We start from the raw sequence: 22605 nt of genomic DNA, 5'->3' as shown, positions 1-22605 counted from the left end.
CTGAAATAATGCGTGAAATGAAAGATTCTGCATTTGTTGTGTAAATTAAGCTAGTACTTTTTGTTACTCTAATTATAAGTGTCTTTTGCCCCCATTAAATAGTAAAATAGTGAAAATCTGATGTTTCCATTTTCGGAGTTCAGCTGGAGCAGTGAAAACTCTGTTTTAATGTGTATTTTGTATTTATCTTTTTAAAACTTGATTGCGTTATGTTTAGTATTTTCTCCTGTTAGAAAATGAGTATCAGTAGATACTTATTGATTGAAGGATATTCTTTTCAATAAGGTGTGCAACAAGCACACAAAAACCTCTTCTGATACTATTGATATTCTTTTCAATAAGGTGATGTTATCACATGGTCATTCACATGAACTTTCTTTTTACATTGTTTTTCATCAGCTAAGAACTGTGATATATATTTATAAACTAATGTAATACTGTTTGATTTAAAATTTAGATAGGAAAAAACCTTAAAAGGCCTCATATTAAACATAGCTGTGATTGTGTTCTCTCTTGAATGGGGTATAGAAATAAGCACAAAGAGATAATGCAAGATTTCAAAGTCATAGATGCAGTATTTGTAATTTATTTCTTCAACATTTTCTTTCCCTTTTTCTGAATATGAATAAATATGTTTGTATATATAGAATATTTTCAAAGTGAAAACAATTCTCAATTTCTTGTAAGTTGGCATTTGTGAAACTGGGTTCTTGCAAAATTCTAGAAAAAAAATCTATAATTATCTAATGTATTTCTGATGTTTCCAGTTCCTAAAGAGCTATGGTACATTTGGCTCTAATTTATATTCTAGTTCCATTGTGCTTATTTGTCCTCTTGCGCTCATAGGAAATAGAGATATTTTGGAGCAGTTCAGGCTTAATCTCTCTTTGGGTTCTTATCTGTACAGCTGACAATGGTCATCTCAAAAAAAACCAAAACATTGTGTTAAAAAGTGTATTTAACAAAGGATTACCTTTAGTTTTCTTTAAATAATTTAGGAAAAAAGTACTCCATATTTAATGTGTTTCCTTTAAATCAATTCTTACTGTTGCGATTGTTTTAGTTCTATTAAATAGTTAACTGGTATTTTATAAACCTCACTGATACTACAGAAACAATTTTTCAGAAAAATGTACTCTTCCATTTAGGGCCAGGGTATACATTTGTTTAGAATACAAAATAGTTATTCTAATATTCTAATTCTTAAAAATTTTAGGGAAATTTTAGGAAATAAGTATATAAACCTATATTTGGCTGAAAACATATAATTCACTAAATAGTAATAACCCTTCAATTTGTTGTAAAATGACTAAGTCTGACATCTTCACGAAAATGCCATTTTATACTTAAAGTAACTCAAATTTCTTCCTTTACAAAGTAGAGTAAGTGACTTTATCATTCAGCAAAATGACTTAGCTCATTTAACATGTTTATTCATCTTATTAGTGATTCAGGGATATACATATTCATACCACTGCTGGCAATCCATATAAAATTAAATAAGATATATCTCAATGAATGTTTTCTATTTTAATCTTTGTGACATAAATACATGTTTGGGAGACCAAAAAAATTAGCAATTTCAGAGATTTTTTTTCTCTTGTGAATAATTATTCAAGTACATTAAAGCTTTCATTTTATTTGTAAGCTTATCTGAAGGCTGAATTATTTGAAAAGTCTTATTTCATCACTACCACAAAGGCTGTGGAAGATCCCTAGCTAGTTGTAATTGGAACTTTCCACTGCACAAAGTGATATTTGTTTTTCTTTTCTCTTCTGGTTGCTTATTGATAAATATAGTAAGTGTATTAAAACCAGAAGAGACAGATATGTACATAGGTATAAGTCAAATCCACCACATTTCTTTGTAATTTGAGGGTTTGCAATTTGAGAGCATGCAACAAGCACACTATTCTCTCTCCTTTAAGATTAGATGCTTGATTTCCTCTTCATTAGAGCCATTTTGAATAAGGCCTCTCAAAACACAGACATAAACCTGGGTGAGATGATATGTCCCTATAGGCCCAACTAGGGAGGCTGAGATGGGAGGAGTGCTTGAGCCCAGGAGTTCGAGTCCAGTTTGGGCAACATAGCAAGACCTTGTCTCTTAAAACAAAAGCAACAAACACACACACACATAACTGAGAGGAGCAGCAGAATAAAACACCAGTCCCCATTAAAATTTTAATATGGATTACTGACAGATTAGCCACCTGCCAATTGATGAACTTTTTGGAAAGGCATGGTGGAAACATGACAGCATCTGTACAGGCCAAAAGTTCAGGCATCAGAGTTGAGGTTCCTGGGAAGTCAAGGAAATAGCCTGAAGACAAGGACCACTAATGATGTGTTAGCACAAGGACGGCTTGACACTAAGAATGAACTTCCTCTGCTTTATATTTAGAATCCAGCTGTTAAAATCATGGGACTTGCCTAGAACTAGGATACAATAAGTGTGCATTGAGTTTGTATGTATCCGGAAACATCATATATGTAGATTAGAGACAAATATTGCAAAATAAGAAGTCTACAGTTTTCATCTATTCTTTCACTAGCCTAAGTAGGAATTCTGTATTTATTTAACAAATATTTGAGAAATGTGTTAATGAACTATCAAGTAAAGTGACATATTTAATCTAATCAACTAAGGAGACCTAAAATAAATGGCGTAATACAAAAATCAAGAGAACAGTTGGACAAGGAAAATTTTAAATGGAGTGACTACGGTAATCAGGTGGTTATATTGACTCTATGTTAAATAATTTTCTGGCTTAAAATTATAGTGCAATATATATTTGAATCTATACATTGTATGTAATATTTATATATAAACACATATATTCTAAAGTGTAAAATTAACTCTGTTTTCTTCTACTGAAATATTTTCTAATGGAATGGTGAATATTTCAGAGTCACATATTTTTAGAAGGGCACATTTATGTTATTTTATTTCTATGATCCTTTGCCAATCTGGATTTTATTATATATAAAAATTCCAAATTTGTTCTTAAAATATTGATAGTGAAAAGGTCTCAGAAGCCTAGCGGTTACTGACACAAGAAGAAAAATAACTAGGAAAATCTAGGTGATGACTACAGAAAAGGAAATGAATTCACTATGGATGTTCATATTCTTTGAAATGATTTCCTAGGTTTTGCAGTTAGATTTTCTTGGGGTAAATGTAAAACTTTATTCTAGCTCTGATATTTAGTAGTTTTGTGATTCCTTGGTATAACCACATGAATTTTGAGTTCCTACTGTCTCACTGCCAAATTGGATACCAGTACACCAAAGTTTGTCATGAGAATTAGATGACATAATCTAATAAAGGCATGTGGGACAGTGCTGGCCTAAGCAAAGGTCTTCATTGCACATTAATATAATCTGATCCTGACTCCTAGGCTTAACCAGTTGTACATCTCTTTGAAGGGATAACACATAGGAGCCTGAAACAAGCAAGCAAGCAAAAAAAAAAACAAAAAAAAAGAAAAGAAAAAAAAAATAAGACTGCTAACTTCAGTACTGCATTTTCGGTAGGAATTTGAAAGCATTTCAGATAATTGGAAAAGGGAAGATTTTTGTGATTTACTTAGAGGTAGGTCCTAGAGGATAAAGGATGTGAATCACAGTTTCAAAGGTGGAAAGATTTAGTGGAAAGTGGTGGATTAATAACAAGGCATAACTAGACTTGTAATCTTTTCCACTTCCTATTTAGGTAAAAATTTTTAATAGTACTGGAAGTCGAGATGAAAGTATGGATAGTCTAGGGGAATTGAGAATGGAAAAGAGGAGAATTATGAGATTTATGAGAATACTCCGAAAACTTTATATACAACTTATGAGGTTTCACTGAAGTAATTGTACTCAGCCTTCCCTCAGGGAGATCATCCTTGTAACCAATAAAGACTTCTAGTGCCAAATATAGCTTAGATTCCAGCACCCTGCACAACACAAGGTATGTATTAGTTGCTTGCTGAATATTCTGGATCTAAAGTAAATTATTTACTCTGATATTATAGATTTATCATCTCTGTCTCACTTGAAAAGCTATCTTCTCAGCGCCCCTCTCAGCATTAACCCATTTTCATGGACAAATGCAACTCATTGCACAAGTCTAAGAGCTTTCAAAAATACTCCCCCCAGCGCAGTATTATTTTACCTGGCACCATCAGAAGAAGTGCCATGAGGTCATTTCTCTTGAATTACAGTCAAAAGAAACAAAATCAAAACCAGCCTTTAAATATATTGTATTTGACTTCTGAGGCAACTCCAAGACGTTAATATTATTCTTGACTTCTCCTTCAATATAACTGCTGATTTTATTTTTAGTATTTTTTCATATTGTGGGTGTTATAGGCTAAAAGGAATGCATGAATTTGAAGAAGTCCATCAACCTGACTAATGTGAAGGATGATGGTTCTCTAGAAAGATCCAGGAGGTTCATATGAAACTGAACAACCCACTCATAAATGGAAACATCCTTGTTTGGGAGGGTTTTTTTTTTTTTTTTTTTTTTTTTTTTTTTGCTCATTTGTATTTTGGTTGTTGGTGATGTTTTTTCCTCATTCATGCTTTAATAGCAAAATCAGCATAGTTCAAGGTATTTTCTGTGAGTTAACAGCTGTCCTCAGTTAACAGTCTTGACTTCACCGGAGTTCCCCACACCAGAATGCTCCCATGCCTTCATCTTCTTAATTAAATGTTCTCTCTTTGTATATTTCAGTGAATCTTCCAGGTATAGTGATATTCTTCTTGGGGAGAGGCATCTGGTCCTATTTTAATAGTATGGAGGGGAAGTATACACATACATGAAAAATATAGAGAAACTCCTGCACAGCTATCCCAATAACTCTGGTTGTTTTGGCATTGTTTGCTTTCATCATCATTCCAGTTACCCAACCACCTAAAATGGTGATCAGGAAAGCAATCCTATAGTTTTAATTGTCGGTGCCTAGGTAAGAGCATAGGGAAGTGTTTACTTTTGGGAAATCTGATGGTGCAAAGACCATGACCAGAGCCTGGATTGAACAAACTCAATGAAATTTTCAGGCTGCTTAATATGATTCAGTTAAGTCTTCAGTGTGAAAGAAATTTGCAGTTACATTTTTACACCTGATAAAATCAAAAGACTGAGGAGGTAAATCATCAGCAGTGTTTAGAATTTAATTCACGTTGGGCGAAATTCATAGTAAGCTAGATCATACTGACTTGGAGGGATTCTTTAACAGTGTTTTTACTTCTCCTATTCCAAAGGTTTCTTAACCTATATAAGCAATTAGATCATCTAGTATAATGCATACAGCATGCTGTATCTCCAAATGTCAGAAGAAATGTCTGAATATCTAACTTGTCTAGCCTCATTCCTTGAAATGACCCAGATTTGTGAATATAAGAAACAAGCCACAGAAATAAAACTTCTTAACTCCTGCTCCTGTCTTCACACACCATGTTTTAAGTTAAATTGGCTAAGTTCTATCAGTGAACAATTGCTAGATTTAATTTAATAACTTGACTCCCTAAAATGTCCATGTTCATTTTCCTCTAGGGAAATATTTTTAATTCAGTTGAGCAATAGTATTGATTCACTTCTAATTTTTTTTTCTCTTTGTGTTTTATTTCTTCAGATTGTTTTTTCCATTTGCATTGCTTTCTGGGGAGTTAGAAGCATGAAACAACTCACCTCTCACCCTTGGAAATAACCTGAATTTGTACATAATTCTCTTCTTTTAATGAGTTGTCCACACGCATATTATGACTGCATATTAAAATGTAATTATTTTATGTAATGCTTATATGAACTATTTCTTCAATGAAAAGTAAAATTACTTATTTACTATTGTTTGCCTTTCACATTTGTTATTTTCTATTAAAAATTAAAGTCAGTTTTGGTTACTTCCCCCCTTTACTACAATTAAAAAAAGATTTCAAATATAATGATGTTATATTAACTGATAGCCTTATATGACAAGTATAAAAAGAAGGGATGAAACTTAAAAACAGTAAAAACAAGAAGGAATATTGCCTTTACATCAATTTGAAAACAATGTTTCCTTTGATGTTTGCTAAAATTATGCATAGATACATGTTTGTAGTCATAAAAATGTATTACATTGGTTGTCTTCCTAAGGCCACAGTTACCTTTGCAATCCATATAACCTAAGAAGCTGCATTCCAGAAAAAGACATCACTGAGGCCAGGCGCGGTGGCTCACCCCTGTAATCCCAGCACTTTGTGGGGCTGAGGTGGGCGGATCATGAGGTCCAGAGATAGAGACCATCCTGGCCAACATGGTGAAGTCCTGTCTCTACTAAAAATATAAAAATTTAGCTGGACATGGTGGTGTGCGCCTGTAGTCCCAGCTACTCTGGAGGCTGAGGCAGGAGAATCGCTTGAACCTGGGAGGCAGAAGTTGGAGTGAGTGGAGATTGCACCACTGCACTCCAGCCTGGGCGACAGAGCGAGACTCCGTCTCAAAGAAAAAAGACATCACTGAAAGAAAAATGAACAGAATTTGTCAGAATTAGTTTTTTCAACAGGTTACTTTGTCATACATTTCTCTAATATGCTTGGTCAATTTGTTTTGGCAGACTGGGCAGCATGCAGCAATTCTGCATTATTTAAAGTTATCAGAACAATGTTAATTCTCTAAATAAAATTACCCAAGGTGTTGTGTGTACATTGTTCATTGGGATTGTAAAAATCCACCAAGTGTTTCGTTAGGAGGGAACTGACAGGGATAAGCAGGATGAAGTCCAAAGAATGAGAACTGGAAAAAGTTAAAAAAAAAATCTTTATTTTTCATTTATCCAATATTTCTTGAAATCAAGTTAAAATTTAATAATTTAATAATAAAATTTAATAATTTAAATAATCAAAGACACATGTACTAAAAAAAACTAATGCTGTTCTTCATTGAGCTTTGCCTATGTATCACTGGGTTAAGGAGCCTGACTTAGATAATCTCATATTAGCAATACATTATTTAATCTTTGAATGGACAAAAATATAGAGTATTAAGAGAATCAGACTGCAGGTGTCTATGTGAACTGAGGATACAGAATTGAAGCATATTTAGTTTTCAAACTGGAACAGCAGAGGAAGATTAAATTTTGCATGATGAAAAAGCAACACATTCTATCTCAAGTATCAGAAGTGGGTTTGGCTTTGCTTCATTCTTTTTATACTTCTTAATTTAACACATAGTTATAGACAATACGTAAGCCTATAACATATATTGAATCCTGCTTTTGTCCCTTAACAACAATTTTCACAGAATTTTGTATACATATACAGAATCATGTTACAGTAGGGAGCCCTCTGCTGGCTTGAAATTAGGAAATTTAAGGCATAAACATTCTCAAGACCCTGATTCTACATTCTAGAGACTTTTCAGTGGGTAAAACACATTCTTCAGTAATGGCAAAGAAAAGAGACTTTTTGCTAATCTTTACATAGTTGTTTAGTATGTCAGAAGAGCTTAATGATTCCCCAAGGAATGATACATAAATATGTGTATATGCTTTAATATATGTGAATTTATAGGATTAGCCTAAAAATGAGTTTAATAATAGAAATGTTAATAAATAATTCCCCCAAATGAGAAAAGATCCTTTTGTGGTGAAGTTCAGTTTTCTTTGAGTAAATTGAATTCTGTCTATTCTCTCTCTTCTCTCTTGGGTTTACCTCACTGTGATTGTGAATGGTTTTCTATTAGAAATACAGATATTTTCAAGATACAAATTTGTGCCAATGAAAGTGGGAGTGGTTACCAGACAGGTAATGTTCCAGACACCTCCTATACAAAAATTATAACAGTGAAAAAATTAAGACAATGAGAAATCTGACCTAACAGACTCCATCTTGCTTCTAACCTCCAAGGTGTCCTTGTTTATTCCTGGGCACAGGCTGAGCTAACTTTGGTAGGAACTTAGTTTATAGTTTGCCTTTGAAACAAAAATGATAACGGCACTTTCTTAAAACAAACCCCCTTCTTGCCTGGGGACAAGGCTGCCTTTGTGGGACTAACAAATTAGCCACAAGATTAGAAAATAGGCTTAGGAGTCATACAGCTAGAGGCTACAAGATTCGAACTCTCCCCAGTTGCTCCTAGGGATAACATCATTATTGTGAAACCTCAGATTGGTGTTGGAGATATTTTTCAGCTCCTGCACTCCATGGATCAGCTGGCACCACCCAGATGGATAAACTGACTCATCTGGTCTTGTGGCCCCCACCCAAGAACTGACTCAGCCAAGAATAGCTTCAAGGCTCTTTGATTTTTATCTCTGACCTGATCAGTGAGCACTCTCCATTCCCTGGCCCCCTACCCACCAAATTATCCTTAAAAAACCCAGTCTCCGAATTTTCAGGGAGACTGATTTGAGTAATAATAAAACTCCAGTCTCCTATTCAGCTGGCTCTGCATGAATTGAACTCTTTCTCTATTACAATTTCCCTGTCTTGATAAATCGGCTCTGTCCTGGCAGCAGGCAATGAACCCATTGGGCGATTACATTTCTAGGGCCTCTGTGCATTATTAACCAAGGCACTTTATTCTTCACTTTATTCTTTAACCCTGCTAATTTTCCAGTCCAGTTTTCTTTTGCAGAGCACTAATACATGATGACAGAACATACAGCTATTATTAATGTTGTAAATTGATCTTGAGTGATACCATGTAATGTATGCTTACTGGAAGGACTTTAACACACTCTCTCTCTGTCTCTGTCTCTCTCTCTCTCTCTCTCTCTCTCTCTCTCTCTCTCTCTCTCTCTCTCTCTCTCTCTCGGGAAAGCCCTAAAAATAGGACTCGTCAATTACTCACCACTTCTATCGGAGAGATGCAAACTGACTTTGCAAATCATATGAAGATATTTACTTTTCCTAATCTACCATAAGAAAAGATAGAGGAAAGGAGCATTTGTTTAATGAGTAGTCCTCTATTAGTATTATTTTATTTAGTCTCTACAATCCTGTTAGGAGCTGTTAACACTACTTTATAGCAGATAATTTTGAGTCTGAGGTTAAATAACTTGTACAGGCCCATGAAATGTAATAAGTGACCAAAATAAAATTTAAACTCTCTGAAGTCGAACATTGAAGTCCATGATGTTTCCCCATTCCACGATGTCAGACATCTGAATAAGGCAAGCCTTTAAAAGTATAAGCTGAGGAGTTTAAGTTCAGAGTATTTTCAATTCAATTTGATGCTCCAAGATACAAAAAAAGTTCTCAGGATAAGTATTTTAGTCATAAGATTAATTGACAGGGTGAATGAGTCCAGAACTTCTAAACCTTCTAAGAATGGCAACATCGTAAGTTTACTTATAGGATTGCCATATGTCTGAAAGAGGCTACAGGACTTGTCAGTTTCCTCCAGACTTGCTCATTACCTTAGCTCTATTAGTTATGCCATTTACTTCCATATCATCTCATTCCATCAAATTATTTTTGTTAAACTGAATCTAATCGTCTCAGAGTCCTGATATTTAGCAATATGTGCATTCCTAATCATGAATCAGATGTTCAATTAGTTGCTAAAGTATATAAACCCTTGTATTTAACATTAACAGCTTACATGATAGTTTATTAAATATTTTCAAATTTCATTTTTACTAGTGATTATATAATTTAATCCCTCAGTGTGGAATCTGCAATAGAATCATTGACTGGAATTCTTTAACATATGGTATACATTATAGTGTACAGTAATAGGATTTATTCGGGAGAACAATAGAAAATAAGCTTCCTTTTTAATGTCTCGCCCATGTTCTCATAGTCATAGACTCCAGAAACCCAAGATAAAATAGCAAAAAACAGACTAGTTTGACTTTCAGAATCTTAAAACATTTTTTATGTTATAATTTTCAGCAACATGATGGAAGCAGCTTGGCTCTATCTTAAGCCTGCCTCAGTGGAAAAAAAAAACAACAACAAAAAACGTTCTATTCATTATTAGAACATTTTTTTCAAATCTCACTCCAGTTCTGCCATCCGTTCTTCCTAACAACTTACATTCCTTCCTCCCCAAGACACAATTAGAAAAAATTAGCAAATTAAGCATTGATGTTTATCTCTTGCAGATTGTGCCTTCTTTTTGACATTCTACAACTCTAGCACTATTTATGTAAACATTTTCAACCACCCAGGCACCCCAATATCCATGAATCATAATAACTTCATTTCTTGGGCATGTTCTTTCTTCATTTTAACAGCAGTAAGCCCCAAATTACAACTTGTCTTGATTTACATTACAGAAACCAGGAAGACACAGTCTTTGCTTTATGCATCAGGATTACCTGTGGATCTTTTTAGAAACGGAAATGACTGTTGGGAACACTGAATTTAGTAAGACTGAGGACGTGCCAAAGGTTCTATATTTTTCAAACCTCTGGCAATGATAAGCTGCAGAAGCTACAGCCAAACTAGAATGAAGGAGAACTTCTCTTGTCCCTCCTGTCAAGTTTTAGAAATAAGCAGAAAAGTTGTGCAGTGTGAGAGAATATTGTTTCTATAGCAAAGATGTTAATTAAGAGAGGTAATACTGATTAAGTAAGCATGGATATTTAGACATGCCACCAAAGTTTTCTGTTTCACATGAGATCATTTTGCATACATTTTAAAAGAAACGGAGCCAGCCGGGCGTGGTGGCTCACACCTGTAATCCCAACACTTTGGGAGGCCAAGTTGGGTGGATCACATGAGGTCAGGAGTTCGAGACCAGCCTGATCAATATGGTGAAACCCCTTCTCTACTAAAAAAAAAAAGTATAAAAATTATCCAGATGTGGTGGTGGTGCCTGTAATACCAGCTACTCTGGAGGCTGAGACAGAAGAATCGCTCGAACCCGGGAGGCAGAGGTTGCAGTGAGCCGAGATCACACCACTGCATTCCAGCCCGGTGACAGAGCGAGACTCTGTCAAAAAGGAGAGGAGAGGGGAGGGGAGAGGAGGGGGAAAGAAAAGAAAAGAGAGGAGGGAAGGGGAGGAACTGAGCCAGAAAATGTAAATACTATGTAAGCATCAGCAAGCTGGAGAGTGAATGGAGGTAGAGTGGGGAATGGAGATGTGGTCGAAAAATATTGTCACCATAGGTCCTGTTTGCATTTGTCTGATTTTTCATTTTTAATGGAAGATTATTAATAATGGTAATGATACAGGAGTTAACAAGGCATTATTTGGGCAGATTATGAGGATAAGGAAGTCCTCGGTAAGGTTTTCCTTTTAAAGAAAAGCAGCTCCTAAATCATTTTCTTTTCTAACAAAAAGCAGTCTGTAAAATCAAGCTGCAGTCATGGAAAGGCAAGCTAGAAGCTTGCACAGGTAAATGCCAGCAGTTGTGCCAATAGGAAAGGGGCTACCTGGGGACTAGGCATGTTCAAAACGGTGGTTCCATGTTCCCTTTTCTTTGCTAACCACGTGTACGGTAAGGAGCAGACAACATGGCGCCAGCCAAGTACAAAACCCATTTGCATAATAAAAAGATTAGGGTGGAGTGACAAGCTTCTTCGCAGTACTATGTAAGCGTCACACCTGGTCCAACCAATCTTTGGGCCCTATGTAAATCAGGCACTACCTCCTCAAGCCAATCTGTACAACCCTGTGCACTTTACCAGGGGCACGGAAGACCCACTGGGGCACCCATCTCTCCCTGCAAGGAAAAAAGCTATTCTCTTTTCTCTTTCTTGCTCCTATTAAACCTCTGCTCTTCAACTCACTTCTTTTGTGTTTCCATGTCCTTAATTTCCCTGGCATGAGGCAAGGAACCTCAGGTATCTATCCCAGACAATGACTGCTTTAGTGTTAAAATATACAGGGGGTTAGGTTTGGTAGATCCCTATTTTACACTTCTGGCTTCTTCCAGGGTCTCTTGTAGTAGTGTGAGGTATGTGTGCTCACTGAAGGGAGCTCTCCCTGTAACACAAAGTTAAATGTAAAAGATGTCCATACATAATGGTTTCTCTCCTCCCCTTATCCTATTCAGGCAAATCCAACCAACACATCCCTTTCAGAGACATTAGACAAATGCAACTAACACATCCCCTTCTGAGGCAGTACACAGCATGCATTTTAACTTGCTGGTAAAATGATGTCTGCTGAGACAATCGGAGCCTAAAGGGGGCTAATTCTCTCTAGACAGGGGGTATTGGAGATCATCTAAAAATGGAACCTGGCAGCCACACGGCACACTAGGAAACCTTGGCTTGGCCTACGTAATAGGCTGCAAGATGCATAAAATCATCAGGATGCCATGAGCCCCTCCCCACCAAATTAATAACTCCATATTTAGTAAGCTAAGTACTGATTTGCTTTTGAATAAAACTTATGCTAAACATATAATTTGCATAAAATGTTTATCAACTTATATTATTCACAGGGTGGGGGAAGATCAGTGATATTACTGATTGCACAAAAACCAGAAGGAATAAGTGTGCTGAAGAAGTATCAGCATCTATTTCGAAAGTTTGTACTCATTTTAAGATATTCATGCTCAAAGGGGAGATCTAACACATGCAACTGCAGAGGGCATATGCACTCTCTGAAATGCATCATTATTCAGATTAAAAGACTTTTAAGTTATTTTACTTATATATATTTTTCTTTTTTTTTAATTTTACTTATTTAACCATTAAAATTACCTTGTGCACAAACAAAAAATAAAGCAGTAGCTATTCATGTGCTGGCTCCATAGCTGAAGGACTTTGCAATCAGTTAAAAGATACCAGTTTCATCTCACTGCCATCTGATTTTCCAAACGGATCAATATTTTCATTCAATTAATGTAACTGAAGTAATTTTTAACAGCCTATCCCATCAAATGTGAAACACTTGATCATTACAAATTAAAAAGTTTAATACTGAAAATAAAATTATATTTGTTTTGTAGAGATAGTATGAACAGAAATTTTGGTGGATAAGTGTAGTAATACAAAGCAGTGTTCTTTCTAAATTAAGAGATTGATTGTTAGCAGAAAAATTTCTTGAAATTATTTGTGTTGGACATAAAAATAATAGTATTTAGAGAGGTATATTGTGAAAATTTAAAAATATTTTATGTATACAAAGTTGCAAATTGCCTAGAAATTTATTTGTTGTACAATTGATGTTAAATACAAAAGAATACATCAAAATAAAAGTATGTTTTGCTGCCAGACATCAGATTTTAGAAGTGAGTAAGACTTTGAAAAAAATTTTCTAAATCAAACCTGTGTCCTCTCATGTTACTGAACTTTATGGTAGACTCTGTCAAACTTGGTTGCATTTGTTTAGAACTAGTTGGAGATCTTTAGACAAATATCAGTAAAGATTGACAAAACTTTTGTTCCTGAAGTTATTAGTGAATTTCACTTATTGAAAACGAAGCTTGCAAACAGGGAGATATTGAAATTGATCCCTATTAAACTAGGAAAGGACTGAACAAATTATATAATAAGAGTTCCAACTTCAAGTGAGATTTAACTCTGACACCCAAAGTTGAAGCTTGAGAGTATTGATGAAACTTCTGTTTCAAAAGAGATAAACTTATATTATGTACCAAGAAGGAACAGAATTTAAAAAGCCATAATTTCACAGCTTGTAAATTTGGTAAAACAATTAACAAGTAATAAATAAGACAAATTACTTGATAAATTTTGTTTTGTAAAATATTTTTGAAACGTTATTCTGAATGTAGGCAAAAATACAAGAGCTATGACATATGTTGGAGTTAATTATATCACTTAATAAGAGAAAAATTAGAAAATATCATACATTTGCTGTATTTTATAGCTTGTTAGATACTTCAGTACCTGTATGGATAGTATTTTCAGAATATAAGTGTTATGCAGAGAAAAGTCAATTGCAAGTGTCAACACTTTTGAATGTATTAACCATAAGATGAAACTTTGAATAAGAATACGGATAATTTTATTTTAAAAATTCAAAATAATAACACCATATTAGAAACAATATCTTCAAAAAATGCCACTGGCATGCTATTAAAGATAGAAGTGACTAAGAAAACTGATTAGAGTATATATTAAGAATAATTATTCTGTTTATGTCATTTTTAATATTCTATAACCTAGATGATTAGTGTGAAGGTTTTTTAAAAATTTGCTTTGGTGACATTGAAACAGGAAAGTTCCTTGACCCCCTTATGGGACTTACGACAGGGGTGTGGCTAGTTTGCTTGGCTCCTGGTGCTCAAACTCCTTATGGGAGGGGGAACACTCAAATGGACAGGTGCAGGAGCCAGGGCGGGCACTTTTGGGCGCTGGAACCACAGTAGCGTCTAAGGGTGTGTTACAATTAATGCTCTATTAGCAGTTGCTGTCTAGGGATGGCTAAGTGTTAATCAGCTCAGTGGAGAGTCAGGGTGACAGCTTTTTACACCCTGCGCTCTTGGTACCTGGACCTTTGTCCAGTGTCCGGGAAGAATCAGGTCACACAGACTTGAAGGATGGTGAATGCAAGGATTTTACTGAGTGATGGAGGTGGCTCTCAGTGGGATGGATGGGGAGCTAGAAAGGAGCTAGAAAGGAGATAGAGTGGGAAGATGACCTTCCCTGGAGTTTGGCTGTCCTGTGGCTGATCTCTCCAACCATCCCCAGCCGAACTCCTCTCAGTGTTCAGATGCTCCTTCTCTTCTCTCCTTCTCTGCCATGCTGCTCTGTCACTCTTCCACTCTTTTGCTTGTGGAGCCTGGGGTTTGGGGTTTTTATGGGTACAGGATGTGGGGGGCATGGCGGGCCAGGGTGATTTTGGATAAAGCAACATTTTGGGCAGGAAAACAGGGATAACTTCTCATTTAGGGTCACGGTTTCCAGGCTCGAAGGTGGGGCCTTTGGTCGGGAATCCCACACTTCTGCCTCTTCTCCATATTAACATGGTTTTGTTATTTCTTGTTTTGAAAAACATTTATTTTGGAAACAGTTTTGAATATACTATTGTATAAATTTGCCAACATATTAAAACAGATTTTTGATGAATAGTTCTCTGTGTGTGTGTGTGTGTGTGTGTGTGTGTGTGTGAGAGAGAGACAGAGGGAGAGTGAGAGTGAGAGATTTTATTCGATCAATGATTTAGACAATCACTCTACCAGTAAAACCTATGTAAGCCATTCATAAATATGCTAGAGAGAGGAAAATTCTTTTACATTATTTAACACTGCTTGATGTGTCTAGGCTGAAGAGTCAGAAGTGGAGTTAAGCACTTTCAATATCTTACATTCTAAATATACTAACTTGGCAAATAAAAGAATGAATGACTTAGTGCCTTAAAAAAACTTTTAATAGTAAAGTGATTTTAAAAATTTAAGCTAATTTATTGAGACCCTTGAAGAACAATGATTTTCATCACTGAACAGTTTCAAGAATCCATTCAATTTGACGAAGACTTACTTCGTTGCCCTTAATTATAAGAGATTCAATTATAATACATAAAAAATATCTGACAAAAGTTCATGTTCAGTAGTTTGGTGTTTAGTCTCAACTATGTCATCTGACTGGGTCATTGATTCCAAATTTGTGGGCTGTGGTTTATCTGCATCAAAACACCTGTTACTCCCAAGGCCCATCTTAGACTGAAGTAATCCAGACCTCAGAGATACGTTCTGGTATGTACACAAGTACCTGGGTTCCTAGGGGGATTATGTGCAACCTAAAATATAAGAATCCCTGTTCTAGAGGAAAAGAGGGTTCATATATTTTCCCACATTTAGCAAGATATCGTGTTACTTGGTAGCGTTTCTACTTCTTTTCATGCTTGTGATTGCTGATCCTTGAATGGTCTAAAATTTTCTTTCCCACTCTATAAAGAAACTGTCCTTTTTCTATTTATTTAAAATAGAAATTTTATGTAATATTTCCATGGAAATTCCTGAGGTCACCTTTAAGCTCCTTAAAATAACTTTGTTCCCAAAGAAATGCCTTAATTGTCAGCACACATATAGTAAGTAATCCATTAATTGAGTTTCTTGAAGATGAATTTTGCTTGGTTGCAGAAACCTAAGGTAAGAATTGTGTTTAGACTCTCATGCCAATTTAGCCACTTACTAGATGTGTGACCCTGAACAGACATGGGAAGTGAATAAGAGGTCTTTAGAAAACAAGCCTCAAAACCCAGTCTGGTTATTCTTTCCTTTGGTTCTTCAGTGAAAAAAAAAAATGAGAGCAATGGTCCAGATCAAGTCTGTGTTCCTTTGCAACTCTGACTTTCCTGTATCAGTTAATCCAAATTACTTCTATATTTTAAAGTAATAAAACTCTTTCTGTTTTGATCAGATATGGACTACTCAATAATTTGTATTTCGTTGGTAATGAATTAATAAGGTTTTATTTCATAGTATGTTCATTAGAATCAAGTCAATGGGGACAACCTTAGAAGGGAGCCAGACAATTCTAATGCAAAAAATGGAAAAGAATCTTAGAAGAATTTTACAAATTCTAATTCTTATTTTTTCAGACATCCTGCCCTTTCTAATGCCTATTGTCCTTTCTCTGCTGTATATTTTATTCTGTTACTTCCATTTCTTCTACCTCCCTTATTCTTTCCACTATGGAGAAATCAAAGTTTTATATGAAGTATGATCTACTTTACTCTCTGTGTGCTTATAAAGGCCACCACATTTTGACTTACTAGTTGATAACCTGCTTCTTTGGCCTTCCTTTTATTCTTTTGGAAGAGTAAAGAATCTCAGGTAGTTCCTTAATGTGCATTTCTTCTGATATTAAAAAGCAAACAGCTGTTTGCTGCATATATATATATATATATAAATATATATATATATATATATATATATATAAATATATATATATATATAAATATATATATATATATATATATAAATATATATATATATATATATATATATATATAAATATATATATATATATATATATATATATATAAATATATATATATATATATATGGCACTTAAAAATCTTGAGTACATGGACTACACAAACACCTCAGGAAATTCAGGTCATTTGGTACATATGGATATGGGTAGCTCCTTGGAACAGCAGGGAAGGTCCCAAAACACAAAAGGAAACTGCTTACTCTGAGTCTTAAGAATAATTTAGATTTTAACTTTATTATGAAATATAAATGGTAAACAACATACATTTAAGCAACTAGTATAAAAAATTCTTGTTGAATTTTTAAGCTGATAGTTTACATTTCTGAAAACTGTAAACTATCAGCTTAAAAATTCAACAAGAAATAGCTTTTTCTATTGTTACATCTCAGCGCTCGAAGACATGAGAAGACAAGATCAAATCTAAAACTTGACTTTCTTTAGATATTTTCATAACTGAAATTCAATATACAACTTTGTGTCTTGATGAGATCCTGGAGTGGTATGGAAGGTGCGATGCGCTGTGAATGTTGCTGATAGGAAAGAAGATGCTGTTCCTTAACATTTTATTGGCTGACTTCACTTCAAAAAACAAAAAGTGAAGCATTAGCTATTAATGTGCTGGCTCCAAAGCTGGAGGACCTTGCATTCAGTTAAAAGATACCAGTTCTATCTCACTAGCATTCGTTGCTCCAAATGGAAAATCAGCTATGATAGCACAAAGTTGAGTTTCTTTCCAGCTCTTTAATGGAAGAGAGGCTGTAAAATGTTTATAAAATGAGTCTATTTTCCTAATTCACTGGAAAAGAAAAAAAAAACTTAAAATCAGTTAGAATCTTCTCTCTTTTAGGAAGTCTTGCAAGGCCCTATTTGTAAATTTCATTAATAATAAGGCCATTTCCCTCATGGCAGTTCTTACTCCTCCCTGGATTTCTCCCCTAATTGTCTTGGGTTTTTCTTAAAGCCTTTTGATGGTGGCCCACTCTCATTTTCCCCAATGCCCCTCTTCTCATAATTCTGAGGAATTTAATACCACATAAATGCTCTTTCTAGGATCCTTCAAAATATTTTAAAAATGCTATTTTCCCCAACTTTTTAAAAGACTATTTCTTCATCTCACTTCTACTTCCAGCTAGCCATGTTTATCTCCATCATTTTACCTCAAATTTCATTCAAAAAGTTGTCTGTAATTATTGTTTCTAATTTATCTCCTCCGATTCTCTCTTGGACACAACTGGTTTTGCTTTCACCCTCACTGTTCCACTATTCTTTAAAAATGCTCTTATCAAAATCAGAACAATGCTGATGTTAACTCCAACGATCAGTTCATGGCCATTACTTGTTTTGTCTTCTCAGTAGCATCTGACACTAACCACACTGTCTTTGAAAGACTGTATTACCTCAGTTCAGACGTTATATTTATCTGCTTTTCTATGAACTCATGAGCCTTTTGGGATGCAATTTTCTCGTTTCCACATACTCTAATCCTTTCAGTGCTCAGGATGTAGAGCCCAGTGCTTGAAAATTCTTAATTGTCTATACTCACTCCTTAGCTGTTATCACCCAGTCTCATTATACTAACCACATCTACAGTTTGAAGACACCAAAAGTATGTATCTGGCTCATAAATCTCTCTTTAACTACAGACTCATGTCCTTATTGACAGTATACTTATGTTTAGTACAAGTATGGTAATGGACATATTACTATACTATTGTAAGTATAATAATGGACATGAAATCTTACATAGTACTTCCCATGTACCAGCTATTCTTCTTAGTATCTTACATTCACTAACTCATGTGATCCTCACAATAACCTTATGAGGTAAATAGTAATATACTCTTTTCTTGGCTGAGAAAACTGAGTGAGACTTAAGCAGTTTACTCAAAATCATACAACTAGTGATAGGACTGCCAAATTCAAACCTGGACCTCCTGGCAACTGGGGCTTCAGAAAGGTCAATAAAGTCCATAGTATTCATCCATTGAAGTTTGCGCCCTTCTTCGTGAACCTCTGTTTGACCCATACCAGTCTACCCAAGTGGCCAGTGTCTCCATTTGGGAAGTAGCCTCGTTCATGGCAGCGGGTCTCATTTGCAAGCTTGCCGTGAACTAAAAGGAGAATAGTGAGTGTGAGAACAGACATAAGGTGTCTGGAAAGACATAATGTCAGTTGAGCACTGTTAAGATTTAAAGCTAGATGCTGGTGTGAGGTTGGAGCCAGATGCATGGGCAGTCGGGGGGGAGTTAATCCTTGTCACGAATTTACCCGAGAGATCCTAATGGGGAGTAACTTTAAACACCAACAAGACAAGAGGAAAACAGTCTGAAAATGAATGGTAGCAAGGAAAGCCCTTTCTTGACTCTTCTCCTCCCCTCTACTTGCATGGTGAATGAGCTCTGGGCTTCAGGAGAGATAGAAGATGTAACAGAGTAAAGAAAAACCAAGACCAAACTCCCAATACACAACACAGACCCACACACACTCACACATACACATATTAATTGCACACTTCCCACTGGCAGCAGGGCAAATTGAGGAAGGGGTGGTACCGGAGAGGGAAAAACTCTAATGAAGTTTGCTTTTCAAATATGGACACTGGCATGCTAATTTCTGAATGGAGAATATTTTTTATGACTAACGTGATGAAAGGATTTTTATGAAAGGACGTGTGAAATACAGATGCTGCCCAAGATGTCATCCAAGGACAAAAAGTAGCTCTACAGAGAGGCTGGAGAGGCAATGGAGGAAATGCAAATCGTTATTTTCCTTTTTTATCTATGAGTCCTGTTTTTTCAGCATACTGGTGTCCCATATGCAATGTGCAAACAGGGAAGAAATATCTCTTAATGAAAATTATTTGAAAATTACAGGATGCAGTATTTAAGCTTTATGTAGAATAAACCATAGATACTCTAATTTTCCAAGTAACTGATGCATTGATAGCAACTCTTATTTTAAAAGCAAGAAACATAGACACAATTCTATAAAATTTTCTAACATCAGATAGCTATCTTGAGACGTCTGAAAGACTGAATGACAAGGTTCACTTATTTGTTTATTTACATTTTTAAATTAAAAAGAAAATTACTTTATAAACCATTTACATGGCTAGCAGCGTGGGAAAGATGAATAGGTCTAAATTAAATTTCTTCTCTATTTCAGCACTTTTGAAAGGCCCGAAAGGAAATAACACCAATCCAGAAACGTATTCTTTCTCTCCAATTTTTCCTTTTCCCATATGAGCCAAGCCTGGAAGTCTACGGACACATTAGGGAATGTTTCCACTGTGTGGGAGAAACATCTGCAAAGTGCGCCGGGACCACCAGAAGTGGAATGAGAAGGAAGCATGTGGGGGCGGTGGCGGCAGACAATGAAAGAAAACTGGGATCTGGTTAGGCCCAAACATCCAACTGAATTGCCTAACCTTTAGTTTACCTTTTGGGTTATATAAGAACTCTAAGAGCTATAAAATTTATATTAAAAACAATTTTTAAATGTCATGAAATAGAATTCATAGCACGCTCTTAGAATTCTTTCCTTCTGCAACTATAAGAAACATTCTACTTTGCACATCACCCTCTATAGAGCCTAAGTTGGGTGGTTTTCATGGGTTTCTTCCTACTCATTCTTTGCAGCCATTTGTTCATGTGGCCATGTGAAAGACTAGGAGCTACAGGCCTCCTCTTAACCCAGAGGGAAGCACAGTGAAGACAGAGATGGATTCTGAGGAAATTCACTGTAAAACATCAGGAGCCAAAGGGCTCTGGAAAAGCAAATGATTATCATTAGAAAGTAATATGCAACTACTGAAGAAACATTTGAAAGAGTAATGTGGTCTAGCAAAACAATCCTGCAATCTGCATTCAATCAAAACTGACCAAAAATGCTTGCAGTGGTCCTTTGTATTGTTGGAAGCCAAATGCTCTCTGGAACTCATGAACAAAGCTTTACAAAGTGGCTTATTACCAACAGAATATTACTGAAGCAATAACCAGCCTTAGAGTTGACTTTTCCAATAAGGGGGAGAGTCTCCGACTGCAATGGCCAAGGTATTGAGAGTGACAAGAATATTTATGTACCTATCAAATGCTCACAGATGAGCTTTGTGGGTCGATTTGTTTTAGTCTACAGCACTTGTAACTAGACATCTTGCCCACAAAATAGCTTTTGTAAGAAGATAATTAAAATTCTGTATACAGAGTTTTGAAAATCATTATGAGGCAGAGCTATACTTAGAAGACTGGATGAGAAGAAAGCATACCTCGAACTTTTGGAAACTGCTTAATTAATTTTGATTCTAGGCCAATTTAATAAGTCTCAAATACAGTGGTACTGAAAATCCATTAACCTCATTCTGTTAGAAAACAAGGCACATATTCTTTATAGATTGTGATTTTCACTGCTCACCTGTGGTTCAGTGCCTCAGCCAGGGTTTTGGACTCCAATCTTCAAATGAAAAGTTCTAAGGCTATGATTAAGTTTCAGACAAATCATCTGCCTTCTCTCCTTCTGGTTGACACCTGGCCTCCGTGAGCAGGACTGCCTCCTTGGGATGCCGACTGGCAGTCATGAGACAGAAGCCCCGTAGTTTTTCATGAAAGAACCACTTATCCTAGGGCCATAGATCACCTAGTACCAAAGTGCGTGGTTTAGGAGATGTCAAGCACGTTCAGGGATTTTAGACCTCATTCATTACCTACCAGAAACAGAAATATGTTCATAGGTAGTTTTTTCAACAAGTATTTGTTCTAAAGTTAGAACAAAATTGAAACCTAATGTACTTTACTGTCAAAACCAGGCAGGCAAGTGGAAAGGCCAGTAAAACAAGTACCTTAGATTCTCTAATTCAAATATATTATATCTTTTAGTTTATATTTATTTTCTGAAAGACAGTATGATCAAATTAGTTAAAATCAATATTTAACTGAAATGGAACATTGAAGAATAAGATGATGGTATTTTTGGAGGCATTTAAGAAAAATTAAGTAGGCCGTATTAGAATGTGAATATAAAAAAACTTCCCTAAATTTTAACCTTATATGAATATTTTTTCTTTATATTCTGAAAAACATTGAAAGAATAGATTTTTATTTTATTATCGGTGCCACCATTATATAGTAGAAAATGTACTTGCACAACAAAACAATTCAATTGTAGCTTTCACGACTCCCTTATACTTCCTTCTCTCCTTCTTTCATTTCTCCTTCCTTCCTTCCCTCCCTCCCTTCCTTCCTTCTTTCCCTTCTTTCCTTCATTCCTTCCTTCCTTCCCTCCCTCCCTTCCTTCCTTCTTTCCCTTCTTTCCTTCATTCCTTCCTTCCTTCCCTTCCTCCCTCCCTCTCTTCCTCCCTTCCTTCCATCCTTCCCTCCATTCTTTTCCTTCCTTAATACTTTCCTTCCTTCCCTCCCTCCCTCCTTTTCCTTCCTTCCCTCCCTTCCTCCTTTCCCTTCCTTCCTTCCCTCCCTCCCTCCTTTTCCTTCCTTCCCTCCCTTCCTCCTTTCCCTTCCTTCCTTCCCTCCCTCCCTCTCTTCCTTCTTTCCTTCCCTTCCTTACTACCTTCCTTCCTTCCCTCCCTCCCTCCTTTTCCTTCCTTCCTTTTTACCTCCCTTCCTTCCCTCCCTCCCTTCCTTCCTTCTATTCCTTCCTTCCTTCCCTCCCTCCTTTTCCTTCCTTCCTTCTTACCTCCCTTCCTTCCCTCCCTCCCTTCCTTCCTTCTTTTCCTTCCTTCCTTCCCTTTCTTCCTCCCTCTCTTCTTTCCTTCC

At 35.8% G+C, this 22605-nt stretch overlaps 1 protein-coding gene across 4 annotated transcripts in view; it reads left to right on the top strand.

The window, feature by feature from the left end:
• AGMO (alkylglycerol monooxygenase) overlaps window positions 1–22605 on the top strand; it is a 444793-nt gene that overhangs the window by 355032 nt on the left and 67156 nt on the right. Inside the window, exon 13 of one of the 4 annotated variants that reach the window (NM_001004320.2) lies at window positions 5625–6667. The exons of the other annotated variants lie outside the window; for them this stretch is intronic. Within the exon in view, the coding sequence (NP_001004320.1) occupies window positions 5625–5699 (75 nt within the window). The 3' untranslated portion in view covers window positions 5700–6667. Of the gene's footprint in view, window positions 1–5624; window positions 6668–22605 lie in introns of those variants that run through there. 4 annotated transcript variants of the gene reach the window in all.

This window comes from Homo sapiens, chromosome 7 (genome assembly GCF_000001405.40).
Source record: "Homo sapiens chromosome 7, GRCh38.p14 Primary Assembly".
Lineage (NCBI taxonomy): Eukaryota > Metazoa > Chordata > Mammalia > Primates > Hominidae > Homo > Homo sapiens.
This window is presented reverse-complemented; position numbering and strand designations above follow the sequence as displayed.